This window comes from Homo sapiens, chromosome X (assembly GCF_000001405.40).
Source record: "Homo sapiens chromosome X, GRCh38.p14 Primary Assembly".
NCBI classification, from domain to species: domain Eukaryota; kingdom Metazoa; phylum Chordata; class Mammalia; order Primates; family Hominidae; genus Homo; species Homo sapiens.
In genome coordinates this window covers 24,178,471-24,202,310 of record NC_000023.11, presented here as the reverse complement: position 1 = coordinate 24,202,310, position 23,840 = coordinate 24,178,471, and the positions used below count along the sequence as shown (strand labels likewise).

At 40.8% G+C, this 23,840-nt stretch overlaps 1 protein-coding gene across 52 annotated transcripts in view; it reads right to left on the bottom strand.

Moving 5' to 3' along the window:
• ZFX (zinc finger protein X-linked) overlaps positions 1 to 23,840 on the bottom strand; it is a 67,274-nt gene that overhangs the window by 13,945 nt on the left and 29,489 nt on the right. For 50 of the 52 annotated variants that reach the window (XM_011545581.3, XM_047442439.1, XM_047442450.1 and 47 more), the window contains one exon: positions 22,541 to 23,128. The exons of 1 other annotated variant lie outside the window; for it this stretch is intronic. In XM_011545581.3, the coding sequence (XP_011543883.1) occupies positions 22,541 to 23,128 (588 nt within the window). Of the gene's footprint in view, positions 1 to 11,469; positions 11,592 to 22,540; positions 23,129 to 23,840 lie in introns of those variants that run through there. One more of the 52 variants, XM_017029801.2, reaches the window with a different exon arrangement.

Sequence of the window (23,840 nt, the reverse complement as noted above, 5' to 3'; positions counted from 1 at the left end):
GTATTAATAGATAAAAATACTCAAGCATGCTCAGTCTGTGGGAGAAAACGGAATAGAAAGTGAGAGACTGAAGCCAGAGCACATGATGAAATTTTGGGATCCAGATCTCAGAGGAAAAGGGATAAATGAAACTAGGAGCAAAGATGAAGGAATTTTCCTTAAATAGAAGAGAAACATGCTATCCTTCTGAGACTTGAATGAGAATGTAGCTATGCTGGGTTTAGGGAAGCAGGGAAGGTGATAATGCAGAAAGTTGTAGTTCATGGCTGGTGGCTTCAATCATAGGTATGAAACAGGAGGCAAGAACTTGGATAATCAGTGAGAAAACAACAGACTGGGTTAAGAGCTTGAGAAACTAGAGAAAATGAGTGATCCAGGACAAGCTTAATGATATGAAGGCTTAAAGAGTCCAACTGGTTAAAGTCTTTGCAGTTAGAAAACAACTACAGGTTCTCTAAACGCTGGACATAACTATCTAAATTAAAGTATTTTGATTATGCTTTATAAAAATGGTTTGTAGGGAGAAAGAGTCAATATTAATGTTCTTACTTCTGGACTGATATGTACTTACCCTTTTTCAAAGCTATTTTTATGATATACCCGGCTAACTGGGCCAAGGTTATTTTCTTAAAGGTGGTTTGGAATTTCAAACTGAGGTAGCAGTGGAGGGATAAAGTTATCACCAAACTAGGCAGAAATCTGTAACATCTTTGGATAACTCAACTCGAAACAGTTTGATGTTGTTGATAAAGCTGGCCTCTTTTGACAAGGCTTGTCAAAACTGATTCTAACAAGTACTGGAAAATCCAATGTCCTTGTGTTTACAAAGAACAGGGCCAGGCTTGTTGTTTTTGCATGTCAATTTGTCTGTACCCTTCAGGTTAAACCTCTGATGACTAGAAAATCCAATCATTTTAGAGCTTGCAAAATGTCATGGTTTTACCTGTAACTTGGAGTAAAAGCCCTTTGTTTGCTTTCACAAATGTGAGGGAAAACACATTCCAAATATATGAGCTTACCTGGTAGCAAAGCTATTCTATTACATAAATATAATTCACCTTCAGATTTTCACCTTGAACATTTATCCCACTAACTCAATCTATAAAATTATTCTGAATATGAAATGTTACAGGAATGATTTATCTTTAAAAAAGACACTTTTATGGTCCTGTTAAGTACTCAAAATTTCACTATGATTTTAAAGCTACCATTATTAAAAATGAATTTCTAAAAACAGACAAAGAAGGCTTCGATAAAATTGAGTCATCCTACCTATGATTCCTGCATAAGTGCCTTCTCCTAATGTAGTAATGAAGAACTAGAGCTTTAGAATAAGGCTTCTCCAAAATAGAAGAGCATAATTTCTGGAAATTAAGACTACTTCTAATAATAACTACCAATTGCATGGCATTTTGTAATATCCTTAGCATTTCTACATTTTTTTATTACATCTGATTCTCATCTTTTCCAGATAAAGAAATACAGGCTCTGAAATGGCATGTGATTTGCCCAAAGTCAGTGAGCTACTAAGTGAGAGGTGGAAGAGAAAGTGAGGTGCCTGTCTTTAGAACTCAGACCTTTATCTTCATCTTCTGAAAGAAATGAAAATGTGCTCAAAATCCTGCCACTGGGAACTATCAACAGAATTTACAGATCATTAGACATTTCTCCACGCATACTACAAATAAAAGGATGGAAGAAAGAACAGAGATTTTTTTGTGAAAATAAGATATTGTAACATGCTCTTTTTAAACAAAGGTACAACATTAGAATTTAAACTCAACAACAAAACAATTTTAACTCCAAAGTCGATCCCATTCCCTTGCCCACGATCTCAATTCCCTTTCCCTACCCCTTCTTTTGTTTCATCACACAGGCTTGGCACAATCAGACACTTTACAATTTGCCTCTTTGCCTCTGCACTAGCACCTATGTAGCTAAATGTGGCTGGAAACACACAGAAACACAAACACACACCCAGCAGATGGTTTCACTTTAAATTCATAACCCTGAACCTGCAGTGAGCCATTTCTGCTACTTTCTGTTCTCTCCTCTTTTCCCTATTCTCATCTCCCCTCAAATGTCTAATACCACCTCCCCATCATCACTTACTTCTTACTTCACCTAGAATTCAAACAATCAGAAGAGAAGATTTGCTAGCACATCTAATCCACCTACCAGCAACTAAGCCCATAAACGCTGTCTTCAGCCTGTTCCCACAAACCATTGTGTTCCTTCCTATCGCCCATCCCCTCTTTCTGAAGGCCCTTCACTGCTTGAGCACCTCTCCCCTCTCTTTCCCTGCATCCTCTACTGGATCATTCTCATCAGGATACAAACAAGCCATTCTTTCTCCCCTGCTTAAAACGAGCAAAAACTTTTTTTTTTTTTTTGAGACGGAGTTTCGCTCTTGTTGCCCAGACTGGAGTGCAATGGTGCGATCTCAGCTCACTGCAACCTTTGCCTTCCAGGTTCAAGCGATTCTCCTGCCTCAGCCTCCCAAGTAGCTGGGATTATAGGCGTGCGCCACCACACCTGGCTAATTTTGTATTTTTAATAGAGATGGGGTTTCACCATGTTGGTCAGGCTGGTCTTGAACTCCTTACTTCAGGTGATCCACCCACCTCAGCCTCCCAAAATGCTGGGATTACAGGCATGAGCCACCGTGCCCGGCTAAGCAAAAACTCTTGATCCCATTTCTCCACCACCTCCATTTCTCAAATTAGCCTCATTTCATCCTTTAAAGTCACTTCAAGGTTGGGTGCAGCGGTGCACACCTATAATCCCAGCTCTTTGGGAGGCCAAGGCAGGAGAATTGCTTAAACCCAGGAGTTAGAGACCAGCCTGGGCAACACAGCGAGACCCTTATCTCTACAAAAAATTAAAAAATTAGCCAGGCATGGTAGTGTGCACCTGTAGTCCCAGCTACCCAGGAGGCTGAGGTGGGAGGACAACCTCAACCTGGGAGGTCGAGGCTGCAGTGAGCTGTGATTGTGCCACTGCACTTCGGCCTGGGTGACAGTGAGACCCTGCCTCCAAAAAAAAAAAAAGATTCACTTCAATCAGGTCATTCTTTGCCCATAACTTCACCAAAACTGTTCATCAAGGTCACTCGTGACCAATTCTCAGCCCTCGTGTGACTTGCAGCGGCAGCATCTGACAGATGCTCACTCTCTGTGATTTACTTTCCTCACTTGGCTCCCCTGACCCAACCTCTTGGTTTCCTCTCACCTCACTAACCAAGACCATGCCTCCTCACTCTTTTGCTGGAGCCTCCTCTTACCGCCTAATGCTGCAAACCCCAGGGCTTAGTCCTTAGTCTTAGTTTGTCTACAATCACTCCTTTGGTTATCTCTTTCTGTCTGATGGCTTAAATTTCATCTATGTACCAACAACTCCCAAATTTACATCTCCACTCTAGACCTGTCTCCATAACTCAGATTTGTACATGTATTTCCTCTTTGGTGTCTATCAGATGTCTCAAAAATAAGTCTCTGCTCAAATGTTACCTTCTCAGCAAAACCCTGACCATACTTATAACCCAAATCCTCCTTATACTGCTTTTTACCTCCCTAAGTACGTATCACCTTATAATATGCTGTATTACTCACCTATATCTGTGTACCTCTGCTAGAATGTAATGTCTATAAGGGAAAGAAACTTCCCTGTGTTTTGTTCACTAATGTATTCCAAGTGCCTACAATACTGCCCAGCATATAGAGTAAGCAAGCAACATTCATTCGTTAAATATATGAATGCTAATCTTCAAGTAAATGTTTGGTCATTAAGATATTAGTTCTTAACCCTCTAAAAAAAAAAAAAAAAAACAAAGCCAGGTGCAGTGGCTCACGCCTATAATCACACCACTTTGGGAGGCCAAGGTGGGAGGATTGCTTCAGCCTGGGTAATATAGTGAGACCATCTCTAAAAAAATTTTTAAATTAGCTGGGCATGGTGGTATGGGGCTGTGGTCCCAGCTGCTCGGGAGGCTGAGGTAGGAGGATCACTTCAGCCCAGGAGGTCAAGGCTGCAGTGAGTCATGATCGTGCCACTGCACTCTAGCCTGGGCAACAAAGCGAAACCCCACTTCAAAAAATAAATAAAAGAAAAAATATTATAAAAGCATCCATATTTTGCCTATAATACACAAATAAGTTTTAGAGCCAGCATCTACTGTCACTATGTGAAAGATGTGGAAGTTAACATTTTGACTTCTCCACTCCCCCAAATATTTTATAGCTAGTTTTATATTAAATGAATTCACTGCTCATTTCTAGTTTTTTTAAAATCAGTTTCTCCATTCTAGGGTTCTTTCTATTGATTGATCCTTTCATCTGCTAGATTCAATACCAAATAGTTCCCCCATCCCTGTCAAGAAAGGCCAATGGGTACTACAGTCCCTGAATTCCTGAATACTTGAAAATGTTGGTCCATGGCCTTTACTTGAAGAATGAATTGGCTGAGTACAAAACTCTTAGGTTACAATTTCCTCAGAACTTTGCAGACATTGTTCCACTGTCTCCTAGCATTGAGCATTTGTGTGTGGATGTCCCTGTAATTCTTGATCCTTAAAGTTCACTAAATAACAGTATGATTATGATTTGCTTGTTTTACCATTTTGACAATTTCTTGGAACAAGAAAGATCCTAATCTTTATCTCAGGAAAAAAATCTCCCATTATAAATATTTTTCTAGTTCATTAGTTGTTCTCTTCTGGAATTTCACTTATGTGTGTTTGTATCCTTTATCTTTCTCCATATCTATCCTCCTTCTCCATAAGCATTTTCACAATTTTATTTTCTTACAATTTCATTTTGTGATTTCTTAAAGCCCAATCCCTCTGTCCTTGGCTATATGCTAAGATACATTTTTTCTTATTGTTGCTTCTCTGGTGGCTTTTACCTTGATCATATTTTTTTCTCTTCAGCTTCTTTCTGAATTTTGTCAATTTCTACTCTAACTGCCCCTATTGCCTTGTAATATATGATAAATAAATGTTTTTGTTTTGGTAGAGATGGGATCTGTGTTGCCCAGGCTGGCCTCGAACTCCTGGCCTCAAGCAATCCTTCCACTTCCATTTCCTACAGCGCTGGGATTACAGGTACAAGCCACCACACCTGGCCTGTCTCAAGTTTTTAAAAAGACATCATATTGTTTGCAATTTCACTGAGCCTGCAGATCAGTGCTAACCAACAGAACTTTCTTTGATGAAGGAAATGCTCTGCACTAGCCACATGTAGCTATTGAGTACTTGAACTGTGACTGGTGCAACGCAGGAACTGTATGTTTAATTCATTTTAACAACTTTATTTAGCCAAATATGTGGCTAGTGGCTACTATTAGAGGAAATCTCCAAATTCAAAGGGCTCCCATGCATGAAAATACAATGCATAAACAAACAAACAAACCAACCTACAGCCAAACATGGTGGCTCACACCTGTAATCCCAACACTTTGGGAGGCCAAGGTGGGAGGATCACTTAAGCGAGAAGTTTGAGACCAGCCTGGACAACATAGTGAGACCCCATCTCTACAAATAAAATAAATTAGCTGGGTGTGGTAGCACATGCCTGCAGTCCCAGCTCCACAGGAGGCTGAGGCAGGAGGACTGTTTGAGCCCAGGAGTCCAAGGTTGCAGCAGTGAGCCATGATCACACCACTGCACTCTAGCCTGGGCAACAGAGCAAGATCCTGTCTCCCAAAAGAAAAAAAAAGGTAATACAAGGGGGAAAGGAGACAATTAAAATTTCTAGGGGAAAAAAGCTGTATGCAAAAATGTAATCAAAGTGATCAATGGTTATGCTGCAAATGATATTTTCACAATCAAAATAATGTAAGCACTGAGTACTGATTTTCTACTTTATTGGAAGGCTAATGGTTATAGAACATACATGGATTGGCTGGGCGCAGTGGCTCATGCCTGTAATCCCAGCACTTTGGGAGGCCAAGGAAGGTGGATCACCTGAGGTGAGGAGTTCGAGACCAGCCTGACCAACATGGAGAAACCCCGTCTCTACTAAAAATAGAAAAATTAGCCGGGCGTGTTGGTGCATTCCTGTAATCCCAGCTACTCGGGAGACTGAGGCAGGAGAATCGCCTGAACCCGGGAGGCAGAGGTTGTGGTAAGCTGAGATCACGCCACTGCACTCCAACCTGGGTAACGAGCAAAACTCCATCTCAAAAAAAATAAACTTAGATGGATCAGCCTCAACAATACAAAGTAAACATAGATTGGAAGGTAGGCTGAACAGCTCAAGGAAAGTGGAGGGCAAAGGCACTGATATCCTCATCTTAAAAAGGAGGAGTCAAAAGATACTGTCCACATTTGATGGAACAAGAAATAAAGATGTTAATGTATTACTTAAATTCTAAAAGGCAAAGAACCAAAAATTGTAACACACTTATCATGAAAAGTCACGGGAAAGGGAGGTGAGAACAAAAGTGAGCAAAATTGTCAGCTATCACAACAGGACGTGAAGAAAGAACATATAAAACAGAAGTAATAAAAATCAAGAAAGTGGCCGGGCGTGGTGGCTCATGCCTGTAATCCCAACACTTTGGGAAGCCAAGGTGGGCAGATCACAAGAGACCAGCCTGGCCAACATGGCAAAACATCGTGAAACGTCTCTACTAGAACTACAAAAATTAGCCGGGCACGCCGGGCATGGTGGCTCACGCCTATAATCCCAGCACTTTGGGAGGCCGAGGCGGGCGGATCATGAGGTCAGGAGATCCGAGACCATCCTGACTAACATGGTGAAACCCCGTCTCTACTAAAAATACAAAAAAAGTTAGCCAGGCGTGGTGGTGGGCATCTGTAGTCCCAACTAGTCAGGAGGCTGAGGCAGGAGAATGGCGTGAACCCGGGAGGCGGAGCTTGCAGTGAGCCGAGATCGCGCCACTGCACTCCAGCCTGGGCAACAGAGCGAGACTCCATCTCAAAAAAAAAAAAAAATTGGCACGGTGGCAGGCACCTGTAATCCCAGGTACTCAGGAGACTGAGGCAGGGACAATTGCTTGAACCTGGGAGGCAGAGGTTCAGTGAGCCAAGATCACGCCACTGCACTCCAGCCTGGGTGCAGAACGAGACACCGTCTCAAAAAAAAATCAAGAAAGCGTATTATTTACAATCATATAGATAAGTACCATTAGAAATAGCTGAAAGAGAAGTACAGTGTAAGTCCTCACGTAATGTCATTGGTAGGTTCTCGGAAATTGTGACTTTCAGCCAAACAACGTAGTATATAACAAAAGCAGTTTTTTGGCCGGGTGCAGTGGCTCACGCCTGTAATCCCAGCACTTTGGGAGGCCAATGTGGGAGGATCACTTGAGGTCAGGAGTTCGAGATCAGCCTCGCCAACATGGTGAAACCCCCATCTCTACTAAAAATACAAAAATTAGCCGGGCAGGGTGGTGCATGCGTGTAGTCCCAGCTACTTGGGGGGCTGAGGCAGGAGAATTGCTTGAACTAGGGAGGTGGAGATTGCAGTAACCCGAGATAGCACCACTGCACTCCAGCTGGGGTGACAGGGTGAGACTCTGCCTCAAAAAAAAAAAAAAAAAATTTTTTACTGTAGGCTAATTGATATAAACAAGAGTTAAGTTCCTATGGCACATTTCTGGTCACAAAAACATCACCAAACTTCTAAATATAGTCTAAAACACTTGTAGCATTAAACATGGAAATAAATGTGGGCTACACATATATTTAAGAAAGAGTAGTAAAAACAAGATAATTATTTGCCCAGTGATTCTAGATCAGGGTCATGGGTGTAGGAGCCTCTCCAGCAGCTCAGGGTACCAGGCAGGAACCATCACAGGGCATGCTCACTCACATTGGGACAGTGTAGACATGCCAATAAACCTAATGTGCACAGCTTTGGGATGTGGGAGGAAACCCACATGGACATGAGGAGAATGTGCAAACGCCACAGGGACAGTGGCCCCAACAGAAAGTCGATTTTCTTTCTCATCAACATTATAAGGAAATAACGTGTTATTCCAGGACCTGCTACAGTTGCTTTGGTGGGGGGGAGAAGGGTAAGCCAGGAAGAACAAAGGGTAGGTAAGGCAAAGGATTACTGCTTTAAAATAGTTTTTCACTGGATAAACACAATATGGTCTATCCATACAATGGAATCCTATTTAGCCTTAAAAAGGAAGGAAATTCTGACACAAGCTACAACATGAATAAATCTTGAAAAATCATGCTAGGTGAAATAAGCCAGCCACAAAAGGAAAAAATACTGTATGATCCCACTTATAAGAGGTAGCTAGGGTAGTCGAATTCCTAAGAGACAGAAAGTAAAAGGGTGGCTGCCAGGGGCTGAAAGGAGGGGATCGGGGAGTTAGTGTTTAATGGATATAGAGAGTTTGTTTTGCAAGATGAAGAGTTCTGGGGATGGATGATACTGATGGTTGCTCAACAGTGTAAATGCACTTAATGCCACTGAACTGTATACTTAAAAAATTGTTAAGATGGTAAATTGTAGGTGTATTTTATAATTAAAAAACAATAATTTTAAAAACTAAATTAAAAGCTTTTGCCACAATTCCACAACTATCACCTCTCCTTTTTTAAACATCCCTCATGATACCTGAAGATATTTTACTGAAAAAAGTAATTGCTTAAAGAGGAAAAGCTAATTTGGGACCTTTAGTAAATAGAAAAGCTAATAATAAAGGCTCTAGGGGATTGTTGCTTGGCCCATTTGGCTTTTATCATTATTGAGATATAGTTTACATAACAAAATTATCCATTTTAAAGTGTACAATTAAGTGATTTTTAGTACATTCACTGTGGTGCAACCATCAGCACCCTTCTAATTCCCCATAAAGAAACACCATACCCATTAGCAGTCAGGCCCAACTCATTCTTCCCCCAATCTCCTGGAAACCACTTCTCTACTTTCTCTATGGCTCTGCCTCTTCTAGACATTTCACATAGATGGAATCATACAACATGTGGTCTTTTTCGCCTGGCTTCTTTCACTAAGCATAACGCTTTCGAGGTTCATCCATATTGCAGCATTCAACAAAACTTAATTCCTTTTTATGACTGAATGATATCCCATTGTATGGATATACCACATTTCAGTTATCCATTCATCAGCTGATGAACATCAAGGTTGTCATCACTTTTTGGCTAATGTGAATAATACTGCTATGAATGTGCAGAAGTTTTTGTGTGAACATGTTTTCAATGGCCCATCTGGTTTTACATCTTTAAACCAATATACTAGTGTCTGCTAATGACACTAGAAGGGCATAACATGGAAGTACTAAGCCTTTGGAAGTATAAAAGAAACAACAAGACCTGAAAGATAAGAAATGATCTCTTAAATAAAACCCAGAAAAGAGAAGTCATTAAACAGTCATTAAAATAAGCTCCAATAAAATCTTTTTTTTTTTTTTTTTGAGACAGGGTCTCGCTCTGTCACCCGGGCTGGAATGCAGTGCACAATCATGGCTCACTGTGGCCCTGACCTTCTGGGCTCAAGCAACCCTCCCACCTCAGCCTCCTAGGCATGTGCCACCACACCTAGCTATTTTCTTTTTTTAATTGTTTCTAGAGATGGGGTCTCCCGATGTTGTCAAGTCTAGTTTGAACTCCTGGGCTCAAGTGATCCTCCCGCCTCAGCCTCCAAAAATGCTGGGATTACAGGTGTGAGCCATTGTGCCAGGCTTCAAAATCTTAACACTGCAACACTGATTGCCACATTTCAATAAAGATTGAAAAGATCTTGTGCTCGTCTTGAGAACAACTGAAATTATCTAGGAGGCACAAACAAGAGGGAAAATCTATGCCATGAGGACACAATCAGTCTCAAACTCTAATTAAACTTGAAGTCAATAAACCTACGGCCAATACTCACAAGGTAGACATAAATTCATTCACTAAATCCCAGCCTTCCAGACACCTGATAAATCTTTAAACAGGCTAATCTGAGAGAAAAATAAAGATGATTTTACTTCCTAAGTAAGTTACCTCAAGGGGCAGTATGAATACACAAATCTTTTCTAAAGTTTTAACAAGATTCACACCTGTGATCTTGGGACTGATGTCAATGAGGGAAACCAGGCCTTTCCTTACCATACACCTCACTATTGCTAAGATAAAATTAGGTTCTGTGAACAATGAGCCTATTCTAACTTACTATGGCAAGTCTAATAGTCTTACTACCTAATTACCAGAATGTTTTTTAAACCTCTAACCCCAAAATCCAATCAAAAGAAAAACTGTAGGATAGACTTGATATTATTCAACATCCTCAGGGTCCCTGTGTGGATGGCTATTTAATACTCAATGAAGGCCGGGCTTGGTGGCTCACACCTGTAATCCCAACACTTTGGGAGGCCAAGATGGGTGGATCACCTGAGATCGGGAGTTTGAGACCAGCCTGGCCAACATGGCAAACCCCCATCTCTACTAAAAATACAAAAATTAGCTGGGTGTGGTAGCGCACACCTGTAATCCCAGCTACTCGGGAGGCTGAGGAAGGAGAATCGCTTGTACCCAGGAGATGGAGGTTGCAGTGAGTCAAGATCGCACCACTGCACTCCAGCCTGGGGGGACAGAACAAGACTCCATCTCGGAAAAAAAAAAAAATCCAATGAAGATATCAAAGATGGGTATTTCCTCCTAAAAGGATATCTGAGCAACTATTATGTCCCAGGCACTATGGTAAGTAGTTTCCCTGTATTTTATTATGAAATCAATGACGACAACCCCAGAACTTAGATGTTCTGTCTCTACTTGACATATGTGAAAACAGAGCACCTAAAAGACTGAGTAACTTGCAGGAAGTATTCTGTCAAGAAGGCAAATGCTTTAGTAGATAAATACATTTAAATTTCACTCTTAGACCTTCCTCTCTTAACTTCCTCCTCAGGAACCCTCTTTGTGGGGTTAAAATTCCACCTTATTTTTATTATATAGCCTATAAGAGACTTGAAAGAATTGGGTACGATCTGATCTCCTTTAATTCTTGAAACATTCCTAGAGCGATTCAAAGGTTTAGTGAAATTAGCCTCATTCCGTAGACGAGGAATTAAAGGAACAGTGCCAGTCAGGTCCCTGTCCTAAGTTAGAGTGATCTGTAGCATGGTGTCAGAGACCTAAGTAATGAAAAATAGTTGAATAGGTCTAAAACTAGTAAAACAATAACTGATTTCTTTATACATTCAGGAGGAAAAAAAAGGAATAACTGTTACAATCCCACCCTGTACCTGCCCTTACCCAGGAAGAATTCCCTGATGGGACAACAGAAAGGTCATAATGAAGCTAGTCGAGATTGAGCCTTGCTAGCCCAATGGATGCTACTGACTGAAAGCCTCTGGATGATAACCACAGCAACAGCTAGCAGTGACTGACAGGATCTCTCATTCTCACAACCACCCTGGAAGTCAAGCAGTATTGCTGCCATTTCACAAATAAGGAAGCTAAAACAAAAAGGTTAGTTAACTTGCCCGAATTCATTCAGCTAATGAGTAGCAGAGCTGGTATCCAAATCCAAGGCTGCCTGACTCAGCTGCAAGCTGAGTTTCCATATACCAGATGTTGCTTCTCTAAGATAGGCAAGGAGAGGTATGTTCTCTCTCTCCCTCTCTCCTTTTCTCTTCCCTCCCCAAGCCCATTACCTCACAAAGTAATCATATATCTGTTCAAAGGGCAGGGTGACATTTTTGTCTAGGTTTCAGCAGATAAACAGTAAATATTAACCACAAGGCCAGTCTGAAGCTCCAATTGCTTGTAATGCTTTCAAAATAGAGACCTTTTCCCAACCTTGTTTTTGGCAGGGGAAGGGAGAAACTAAAACATCTTTGCCTTATTTGAGTGCTTTATTCTTGTTATAAAGCTAGCCAACACCTAGATTGAACATTATACTGAAAACTCTTAAGTCATTAATTGTAGTGTTGATTTCTAAATAAATTTCAGTTTACAGTAAAGATACAATTTTAGATGGATTAAAATAACCACTTTTCGAATTTTATCTGAAAAAGCTTTAAAAAGATGCTTGAGGTGACTACAGTTAATAACAATGTACTGTATACTTGAAAATCACTGAGAACAGATTTTAAGTGTTCTCACCACAAAAAAATAAGAATGTGAGGTAATATACGTTAATTAGCTTCACTTAGCCATTCCACAACACATACATATTTCAAAACATCATGTTGTGTACCATAAATATATACCATTTTTACTGGGCAACTAAAAAAATTTAATTAAAAAATAATGAAATAAATTTTAAAAATCTTCAATACACCTTCTCCAAAATATCCTTAGTTCAGTAAATAACACTTTTCTCACATTTCAGAAATATTCCCATGTAGATATATAGTTTTCAAATTCCAAACTTTTTCCTGTGTTTTATCAAATGGTTTTTAAAAAATTGGTAGGGTACATACATAAAAATAATAAAATACATACCTAGCCAATAATTAACCCATGGAACAAAGGAGTAAATATTTTACTATCTCTTCTGTGCTAATAGTCCCTAGAATCAATCAATAAACTATTAGGATGTGTTGACCCTCAGAGTTTATACATTAAAGATAGGAGTTTGGACTTTATGTATTTATTTGCTCCCTGGTTTAAAAAAACTGGTAGGGTACATACATAAAAATAATGGTAAAATACATACCTAGCCAATAATTAGCCCATGGAATGAAAGAGTAAATATTTTACTATCTCTTCTGTGCTAACAGTCCCTAGAATCAATCAATCAACTATCAGATTGTGTTGACCCTCAGGGTTTATACATTAAACATAGGGGTTTGGACTTTATGTATTTATTCGCTCCCTGAACCACGTTTTATTGGATGTCTACTATGACCAAAGTCATGCTTAATTAGGAGCTAATATTAGAATGACTGGTCAAAATACCTAAACTAGATGGCCAGGGCAAACCAGGGCCACCTCATTACACATTTGCAGGAGTCCCTTTACATTGTAGTTGTATGCAGCAACCCTGTAAATAAATCTTTAGCATGTCCATCTGCTCCTCTTCTAGTAACAGTTTTGCCATGTGCCCAGTTGCATAAGCTGGAAACCAAGAAGTGAGCTGCAAACCCTCCCCTCTTCCTCAACCCTAAATTTAATCCAAATTCTACTTCCTACATATGTCATGAATCAGTTTCTGCTAAATTCTACCGATAAAACCTTATTTCAGGCCAGGCGCGGTGGCTCACGCCTATAATCCTAGCACTTTGGGAGGCCGAGGCAGGCGGATCACGAGGTCAGAAGATCGAGACCATCCTGGTTAACACAGTGAAACCCCGTCTCTACTAAAAATACAAAAAATTAGTCAGGTGTGGTGGCACGCACTTGTAGTCCCAGCTACTCGGGAGGCTGAGGCAGTAGAATCGCTTGAACCCAGGAGGCGGAGCTTGCAGTGAGCAGAGATCGCACCACTGCACTCCAGCCTGGGTGACAGAGCAAGACTCCATCTCAAAAAAACAAAACACAAACTTATCTCAAACTATTATCATCTGTTTCTTACCTAGACTACCACAATAACCTTCCGAAATGTACTTTTTGTTTCTGAATTCGCTCTTACCTTGCGCCTGCCCTGAACATTGCCATTATCTTTCTAAACTATAAATCTAAACATGTTATTATTAATCTGCCTAAAATCCTTTAACAGCTTCCCACGTCCAAAAAGTAAAGCAGGCGTCTATGTTCAAGAGCCTTTATGTTTTGGGCCCTATTTGCCAATCTTCTTTCTCACCACTTCCTCCATCCTCCTCACCAGACATTATTAGCACCCAAAGAATAGGTCTCTGAACACTCAATGATGTCTCACATCTCTCTGCCTTTCTTCCCTCCTCAGCCACCTCATGAACATTTTATTTTATACACCCTTCAGATTGAGTTCATCTCAAATTATTTTTTAAAGCTTTGAAAACAGTTTTTTTTTAATCCTTGTCTTTGAAAAGCAAATACTGAAATACTTATGAAAAAAATGTTATGTGGAATTTGCTTAAAATACAGGAGGGAGGAAAATGAATAGGAGATAAAATAAACTTGGTCAATATCTTCAAGTGAGCTTCCATAGAACTTCAGTTTATAACGCTTTTGTAGCATTTGTCTCCCTCAAGCGTACCAAAAAAAAAATTTTTTTTTTTTTTGAGACAGTCTCACTCTGTCACCAGCGTGCAGTGGCTAGAGTGCAGTGGCATGATCTCAGTTCACTGCAACCTCTGCCTCCCGTATTCGAACGATTCTCCTGACTCAGCCGCCTGAGTAGCTGGGATTACAGGTGCGCACCACCATGCCCGGCTAATTTTTGTATTTTTAGTAGAGACAGGGTTTCACCATGTTGGTCAGGCTGGTCTCAAACTCCTGACCTCGTGATCCGCCTGCCTCGGCCTCCCAAAGTGCTGGGATTGCAGGCGTGAGTCACCGTGCCCAGCCCCATCCTCTTAGTGCTTCTAAAGTACTTTCTATATCTATTTACATACCTTCCTACACTCAACTGTAATTGCCTGTTTCTGTTTATCTTCCCTCCCAGACTGTGAACTTAAAAAGCCAGGGACTTTGCTGTTTATCTCCAACCCCTAGTGAGGTTCGCAGCTCATTATGGCTGATCAATAAATGTTTTCTGAATGAATGAAGGCAAAAGAAAAATCAACACTGGCAAGAGTAAAAGTGATAGCGTATATATGATTCCTTTTTCTCATGTAAATACAAATTTGAAAAAAATTAATACTTTTCAGTTAGAAAAACAACAGGATGGGGTTTGGAAGCTGTCTGGGCTTCTGCTAGAATGAGTTAAATAAAAAAAATGCTTAAACCCTCCCAACAAATTATTGTTTAACATTGTTGAAATTTGGAATTCATTATTATTGTAAATTGTAGTTATCTTTGGAATTCTATTTGCCTCCCCCATCTACCAATAAGCACTATTTATCATGAACTCTACTGCTTTGTAGTATTAAATTATACACACATACATACAAACATACAAACACAGAGAGAGAGACACAGAGAGAGAAAGGGGGGGCCAATAAGAGAATTAAGAGTGGACACTTTGGAATAAAACATAACTGGTTTCAAAGCCTCACCCTAATGCTGCTGGGAGTGACCTTGGAGAAGCTATTATTCGAGGCTGCAGTGCACTATGATCAGACCTGCAGATAGCCACTGCACATCTACAGGCATGTATGTATGTATGTATGCCTGGGCAACACGGTGAGATCTCATCTCAAAAACTAACTATATTTTCAATTCCGGCACATAGATATCATTTATTGAAGATTTACTATTACCTATTTTTATCAAGAGACAATAGCTACTGGTAGGGAAGAAATTTATCGTTAATGCCTTGGATGAGGCATGATGTACACGGACTTTCAGCTATAACATTCATATATTCACTTATTCAACAAATATTTATTTCATACCTAATATACATACGGTGTGATGGGGAAGATACATAAGCAGCAAAGATGCAGTAAATAGTTCCTGTCCTCAAGAAACATATAATTAACTTAGAAGCCAATCATAAAATCTAGATTGCAAAGACTGAAGAAGGCAGTCATCCTGACCTCAAAGGTAGCTATATACTGTGACAATGAACATCTGTGTCTATATACACAACCATGATATTATAAAGAATGAGGACTGCTTCATCATCATTTATTGTTGTTTTGTGTGGTTTTTTGGTTTTTGATTTTTTTTTAAGAGATGGGGTCTCGTTCTGTCACCCGGGCGGAAGTACAATGGTATGATTACAGCTCACTGCAACCTCGAACACCTGTGCTCAAGGGATCCTCCTGCCTCTGCCTCCTGAGCAGCTGGAACCACAGGCACATGCCACCACACCAGCTAATCTTTTTTTTGGGGGGTTGTGGGGAGTAGAGATGGAGTCTCGCCATGTTGCCCAGGCTGGTCTCCAACTCCTTACCCTCGAGATCCTCCCACCTCAGCCTCCCAAAATGCTGGGATTACAGGTGTGAGCCACCTTACCTGGCCCATCATCATTTTAAATGAGACGTGCAGAGGGAAGAAACCTGCCAAGATGGATACTAAAGACATTGTAAAAGCTGTTTATTAGACACTCAGATCCAGTAACTTACTGAAATTTTTAAAGAAGAGAGTAGAAAAGAGAGTACTTGGACATCTGGCCACATTTCTGACCTAAAGATAGAGTGTTTAATAAATATAAGATTCAGAAATACTACCATCTCTCATCATAATATGAAAAGCATTAAAGTTGACTACCGATAATGGTATCTTCACATTCTCTATCATGGATTAAATCAGCCCATAGTTCCTCTATATACTTACGACAAAACCTTTGTTAATCCTTAACTTCTGAAATCAATATAGGTGTTTTAGGGGGGTTTTGGGAGGGGTTGTTTTTTTTTTAAGAAACAGGGTCTCATTCTGTCGCCCAGGCTGGAGTACAGTGGCGCAATCAAGGGTCACTGTAACCTCTGAACTCCTAGGCTCAAGCGACCCTCCCCCATCTCGGCTTCCCAAAGTGTTGCGATTACAGGCATAAGCCATTGTGCCCGACCTCAATATAAGTTTTAAGTTAAAATGCATCATTAAGGCCGGAAGCAGTGGCTCACGCCTGTAATCCTAGCACTTCGGGAGGCCGAGGTGAGCAGGTCGCTTGAGGCCAGAGTTTGAGACCAGCCTGGCCAACATGACGAAACCCTGTCTCTACTAAAAATACAAAAATTAGCCAGGCGTGGTGGCACGCGCCTGTAGTCACAGCTACTCAGGAGGCTGAGGCAGGAGAATCACTTGAACCTGGGAGGTGGAAGCTGCAGTGAACCAAGATCATGCCACTGCACTCCAGCCTGGGCGACAGAGCAAGACTCTGTCTCAAAAATAAATTAATTAAAATAAAATGCATCATTAAGTATCTTTGCTGGGAGGCACAGCCAAGAGAAATATTAGTTAATTCTAAAGTGTTCAATTGGTTTGATCCCAAAGCCAATAGTAAATTAAATTTTAAAATATGATCATTACTTTGAAAGGAAAGGGGATGATGAAGTAGAGGGAAGTAAGAGTGCAAAAGTGGCTGTAGAGGCCGGGCAAGGTGGCTCACACCTGAATTGAAGAAATTGGGGAGGCTGAAGTGGGCAAATTGCTTAAGCCCAGGCTGGTTCAAGACCAGGTTCAAGACCAGCCTGGGCAACATGGCAAAACCCCCTCTCTACAAAAAATGTAAAAATTAGGCGGGTGTGGTGGCACATGCCTGTCATCCCAACTACTCGGGAGGCTGAGGTGGAAAGATTGCTTGAGCGCAGGAGGCAGAGGTGGTAGTGAGCCGCGATGGCACCACTGCACTCCCAGCCTGGGTAAGGGAGCGAGACTTCATCTCAAACATAATAATAGAGAAGACAAAAGATACTACTAAAGGCCACCATCTCTAAACCCAACTTAAAAACAACCATTTCATTATAGTGAAATAGGGGAATAGCACATGTGTGCACGCAAATGCTCATGTGTGTATGTATTTGTTTAAATGTATCTCTGCATTATTTGAGTTTGGATATGTTTTATTTTAAAAGGAAAGAAATTATATTATCAAAATATATACACATACATAAAACATATATTAAAATATATAAAATACACTAATAGCCATTTATGTTCATCCATATTTACTTTTTCAGGAACATTAAAATCTATATAAATTAGAAGAAACCCAGGGCCTAAAGATGACTATAAATAAAATTTTTAATGAAAATTTTACAAGTCTGTAAAATTTTACATGTCTTGTATTACAAATTCTGTAATACAAGAACCTGATATGCTGAGTAAATTGTTACTAAAGCAACTTCTGGGTTTTTTTCAATGACTTCCTTGGAGGGCTGAACTTCCTAAAAGAGGAGAAAGTAAAGGCAAGAGATAGTGCGCAGTTAAAGGGCAAACCAATACCATGCATTTTACTCCTTAGCAAAAAAGCTGAGGAAGACAGAAAGGGCAGAAAGTGCAGAGAGAAGTCAAGGAGAAGCGAGAGTGCTTTATCCTCTTCAGTATTTCACCAGGCCCTCTTCCCCTCACAAACTGGGACGAACTCAACTCTCTGCTTTCTCTAGCCTTGGTCCTGGGTTGCCCGGTCTTGTAATAGAAAATCTGGCAGTCGTAAGGGTTGAGTAACCCTTATCCAAAATACTTGGACCAGAAGTGTTTCAGACTTTTGTGGATTTTGCAATATTTGCATATACACAATGAGATATCTTAGGGATGGGACCCAAGTCTAAACATGAAATTTATCTGTGTTTCAGCCAGGCATGGTGGCTCACGCCTGTAATCCCAGCATTTTGGGAGGCTGAGGCAGATGGATCACTTGAGGTCAGGAGTTCGATCGAGATCAGCCTGGCCAACATGGCAAAACCCCGTCTCTACTAAAAATACAAAAAAATTAGCTGGGCATGGTGGCACGTGCCTATAATCGCAGCTACTCGGGAGGCTGAGGCAGGAGAATCACTTGAACCCAGGGGGTGGAGGTTGCAGTGAGCCGGGGTGGAGGTTGCAGTGAGCCGAGGTGGAGCCACTGCACTCCAGCCTGGGAGACAGAACAAGACTGTCTCAAATTAAAAAAAAAAAAAAAAATTATCTGTGTTTCATATACACCTTATACACATAGCCTGAAGGTAATTTTATACAATTTTTTAAAACAATTTTGTGCCTGAAATAAAGTTTATATACATTGAACCCTCAGAAAGCAAGTGTCAGGTGTGGAATTTTCCACTTGTGGTGTCATGTCTGTACTTAGAAAGTTCTGGATTCTGGAGCATTTCAGATATTGGATTTTTGGATTAAGGATGCTCAACCTGCATTTTAAAATAGCATTTTCGGCCAGGCGTGGTAGCTCACGTCCGTAATCCCAGCACTTTGGGAGGCCGAGGCGGGTGGGATCACCTGAGGTCAGGAGTTCAAGACCAGCCTAGGCAACATGGTGAAACCCCGTCTCTACTAAACAATACAAAAATTAGCTGGGCATGGTGGCGAGTGCCTGTAATCCCAGCTACTCGGGAGGCCAAGGCATGAGAATCGCTTGAACCCGGGAGGCGGAGGTTGCAGTAAGCCAAGATGGCGCCATTGCACTCCAGCCTGGGCAACAGAGTGAGACTCCATCTCAAAAATAAAATAAAATAAAATAGACTCCTAACCTCAGCTGGCCCCTCAATGCGGTTCAGCAATCTATCTCATAAATTCTTGGCTTCCTACACTGGCCCATCCCCTAAAGACTAAAGCTTTTCAACCCTTTGCCATTATCCTTCAGCTTTCCACCCAGCCTCTGCAGTCCTTCCATATGTGCAGATGAACCTGCTTCACAGACAAAATAGCTCCCAACATTCAAGTACTCCTTTTACCTTCTGTCCCTGGAAAGGGGCCTCATCCTTAACTGTCTTCCTGTCTCAGAGAAGGGGACTCACTTTCCCTCTCCAGGACTTACCTAACAGCCATCTCCTGCAGCCCTGGACCCCAGTCCCTTCCCCTTCTCTGGAACCTGCTCCACTAGCCCATCCTTTCTTTATCTTCAGGTTCTCTCTGTCCAGTGATTTTTTTTTTCCCTTAAGTCTATAAACATGTTCAACTTACTTTCGCCATCCAGGCAACCATCAAAAGCTATACTCCCACCTCTTTAGTCCCTTTGCTGACCAAAATGGCAATTTATCCAAACCGCTTCACCTAACTCTACTTCCACTAACTTCTCAATCCATCACAGCTCATCTCTTCCATCTCCTCTCCAATAGCCCATGCCTTACTGAACCTACTCTAATTTAGATACCAATGACCTCCTAAATGCCAAACAAAAAAGCCTGCTTTCTCCTCAGTGGCTGATAACTTGTAGAAACTCTATCCTTAACAGTGTTGGAAATACTTTTTCTCCTCCTTCTCTTCCCAAAACCTCCTGATTTTTCAAGGACTCTTTTCTGCCTACTTCTTAAATACCTAAAGGAGCCATACTTGACACTCTCACTCGACAAGCATGCTCTGGAGACTACCATCCATTTCCATATATGATACTGCCTACATTCTGTTGTCCTAAATTTCTTCCTCTAGCAACAAACTCTCTCAAAAGCACCAAAGTCATATTTTCAACTGCCTAGAAGAAACATCCACCAACAAGCAATTCAAACTGTAACAGATCCTAAATCTTCCCCCTTCCCCCACCTTCCCCCACCAAACCTACTCCTCCTTTCAGGTAATGGCATGACTAGGCATCCAATCTCCCAAGGTAGAACACTTAGGGTCATCCTTGAATTATCTTTCTTCCTCAAACCCCTAGCCTCTTTTATCTATCATCGAATCTCATCCATTTTTCTTCCTAATCTCTCTTGAATGCAGCTACCTCTCTGTCCCCTTTACTATTATTAACGTACTTCAGATCATCTTATATATGAACCATTTCAACAGTTCACTGCCACTAATCTCTCCCTCACTTAAGTCTTATTCCACATACAAGGATCATCATCCTAAAATAAATTCAAAATTGAAACAGGGTAACGTATTTTTCCCTATCAGAATGGCGAAAACTAAAAAGAAAAATAATACTCTGTGTTGGTTCCAGTGTAGGGAAATGAACATTCTCATCAACTTGGTGAAGGGAATATTAAGGCAAAATACCAAGAGAATTTAACCAAACTTCAAGCATAACCAAACTTGTAAATGTGTACACCCTTTGATCTATCAATTCTATTTCTACAAATTTATTCTAAGGAATAAAATAGAACGTACACAAAGATATAAAAGTGTATCCTAAAGTTCCCATCATTATCAGCAATATCAGCAAAGGCCAGAACTTTTTTCTTTTTTAATACACTATACTATATGCCTGGAATGTCTTCCTGCCACCCGTGCCCTTCATCCTGTAAAACTAGAATTCATCCTTGATTTCAAAGGTCAGCTACTCCATCCCATCTCCATGGCAGTTTAGTCACACCTCTGCATCACACTACAAACTTTCTCTCCCACAGCAGATCAAAAGCTCTCCAGGGATAATGGTCTTATGTATGTATTTATTTAGCACATATCTGTATCTACGCTACCTACAACAATGTCTCACACATTCAGGGTCCAATAAACGTGTTGAATGAAGGCATTTTCTTCCCTTTTCCACAAATAATTCTTTGATTTTCAAAATCTCAAGAAGTTTTCAAAGGAGTTTCAAAATCTCAAAGAAGTTTCCTAAAATGCTGGTGGACTCCAGTATATTAATGTTATATTAAATTCCTGTATGAAAACAGGTATTCGAACAAAGCAAATATTCTTGTAAATTTATAAATAGTCTGTGAATCCTTTATATTTTAAGTTTAGTTCCTTAAGGCATAAGAATTTCCACACTGGGTCAGAACCGTGGCCTAGCCAATCTAGAATTTTATCTCCGAAATTGGTACCAAGAAGTATGTTGTAAGAAGATAACGGTTGTCTTTCCAGATGCTAAGATAAACATGTAAAGGTGTGTTTCAAAATACTTTACTTTTCTCCAATAACCTAATATGAATCCATCATACTTGATACCATGTTTTGGAATCATGTTTCATACTATACCAGAGCTCTTTTTCATGTTATCTGTTATGCAGTGTTTTACATATTATATAAGTACATAAGTATTACATAAACAGTACCGTGTATCCATATTCAAGAAAATAAGTAGCAGCGTGATACCTCACACCTGTAATCCTCCCACTTTGGAAGGCCAAGGCAGGCGGATTGCCTGAGCTCAGGAGTTCAAGACCAGACTGGGCAACATGGCAAAACCCCCTCTCTACTAAAAATACAAAAAATTAGCCAGGCGTGGTGGTGCGTGCCTACAATCCCAGCTACTTGGGAGGCTGAGGCACGAGAATCACTTGAACTCGAGAGGCAGAGTTTACAGTGAGCTGAGATCGCACCACTGCACTCCAGCCTGGACGACAGAGCAAGACTCTCCCTCCGAAAAAAAAAAAAAAGTAAGTAGCTTGGTTAGACTTTTTGTTTTTCCAAGTTGAACTCCTTTTAGGTTTCAAGAGAGTTCATAATTCTAATAAAGGCTGGTAACAGCCTAATCACATTCTTCATGATTCCAAAGTTCAGTTCTGTTTGTTTCAGCTTTTTTTTTTTTGAGAAGGAGTCTTGCTCTGTCACCCAGGCTGAAGTGCAGTAGCACAATCTTGGCTAACTGCAACCTCCGGCTCCCGGGTTCAAGCGATTCTCCTGCCTCAGCCTCCCAAGTAGCTGGGATTACAGGCGCCCACCACCACACCCGGTTAATTTTTGTATTTTTAGTAGAGACGGGGTTTCACCATGTTGGTTGGCCAGGCTGGTCTCGAACTCCTGACCTCAGGTGATCCACCTGCCTCAGCCTCCCAAAGTGCCCGGACTACAGGCATGAGCCACCACACCCGGCCTCACTTTTCTTAATTTTCAGTTATCTTGTAGGCTGCAAATGGAAACAACAATGCAGGTAGGTCTATGAGATTTACTTTTACAGACATTTAAGTCAAGAAAATTTCACCCCTGATGTAAATTAGAAGAGGCAGCCTACAAAAACACCTTTGACAATCACTGTACCCCAAGACTTACAGGAAATCATAAGGTAGTCCTCACAGTTGCCTTTGTCATCATCCTGCTGGTCCACAGGGATCCCATTGGCATCTATGACTGCTTCAGAGGCACAGTCTGCTACCAATACTTCTTCTGAAACTACGTCGGTAGTCAGAGGATCAGTGACAATTTCTGCTTCCACTACACTATCATGAACCACATGTTCAACATGTCCAACATGTCCAACATGTCCAACGTCAGACACATGTATAGAATCACCCGTCAAGACGTGTTCTGGCATAGACATTGAGGCTGAAGTAATGTCAGAAGCTAAAACATCATCTGGGACTGTGCAATGTGCTAAAGAAACTTCTTCAGTTACATCTGAGTCCAGCACTTGCTCAGGAATGATGACCGTTTCAGACACATCTGCTTCTTCCATGATATCTGGGCACTGAACATCTTCTATAACAACGTCCTCAATAACATCTTGGATTACAACTGAATCTGGGTCATCAGGAACAAAGTTATGCACAGTTATGTCTGAATCCACAACATCTGAAACAAAAACAGTTTCTTGTACTTCCACAACAATTTGATCACCATCCATGTGTGTACCATCAGCTCCTTAAAAAAAAAATTAAAATGACAAATTTCAGGTAAGTATGCATGACTACAATTAACGTAAATGTTACTTAATTTCTACTGGGAAAACAGATTAGCTCCTCAGTTTTCTTAAACATTAAGATAGATTAAAGAAATAAAGAGGGAATCTATTTTTGAATCACATGTTTTTAACCCAAGAACTTTTGTAATCATCTCAAATCAATAGATTTTTAAAAATTAGGAGAACAAAGCAATTGAGGCAGTCACAGAAAAAATACATACATGAAAGTAAAATTTTAGGCACACTAATAAAATCCATATATAGCCAGGTGCAATGGCTTCACACCTGTATTCCCACCACTTTGGGAAGCCAAGGTGGGCAGATCACTTGAAGCCAAGAGTTTGAGACCAGCCTGGGTAACATTGTGAAACCCCATCTCTACTAAAAACACAAAAATTAGCCGGGCATGGGTAGCACAAGCCTATAATCCCAACTTCCTGGGAGGCTGAAGCAGAACTGCTTGAACCAGGGAGGCGGACATTGCAGTGAGCCAAGGTGGCGCTGCTGCACTCCACCTGGGTGACAAAGCAAGACTGTTTTAAAAAAAAAAAAAAGGCCAGGCGCGCTGGCTCAGTCCTGTAATCCCAGCACTTTGGGAGGCCAAGACGGGCGGATGACCAGGTCAGAAGCTTGAGACCATCCTGGCTAACATGGTGAAACCATGCCTCTACT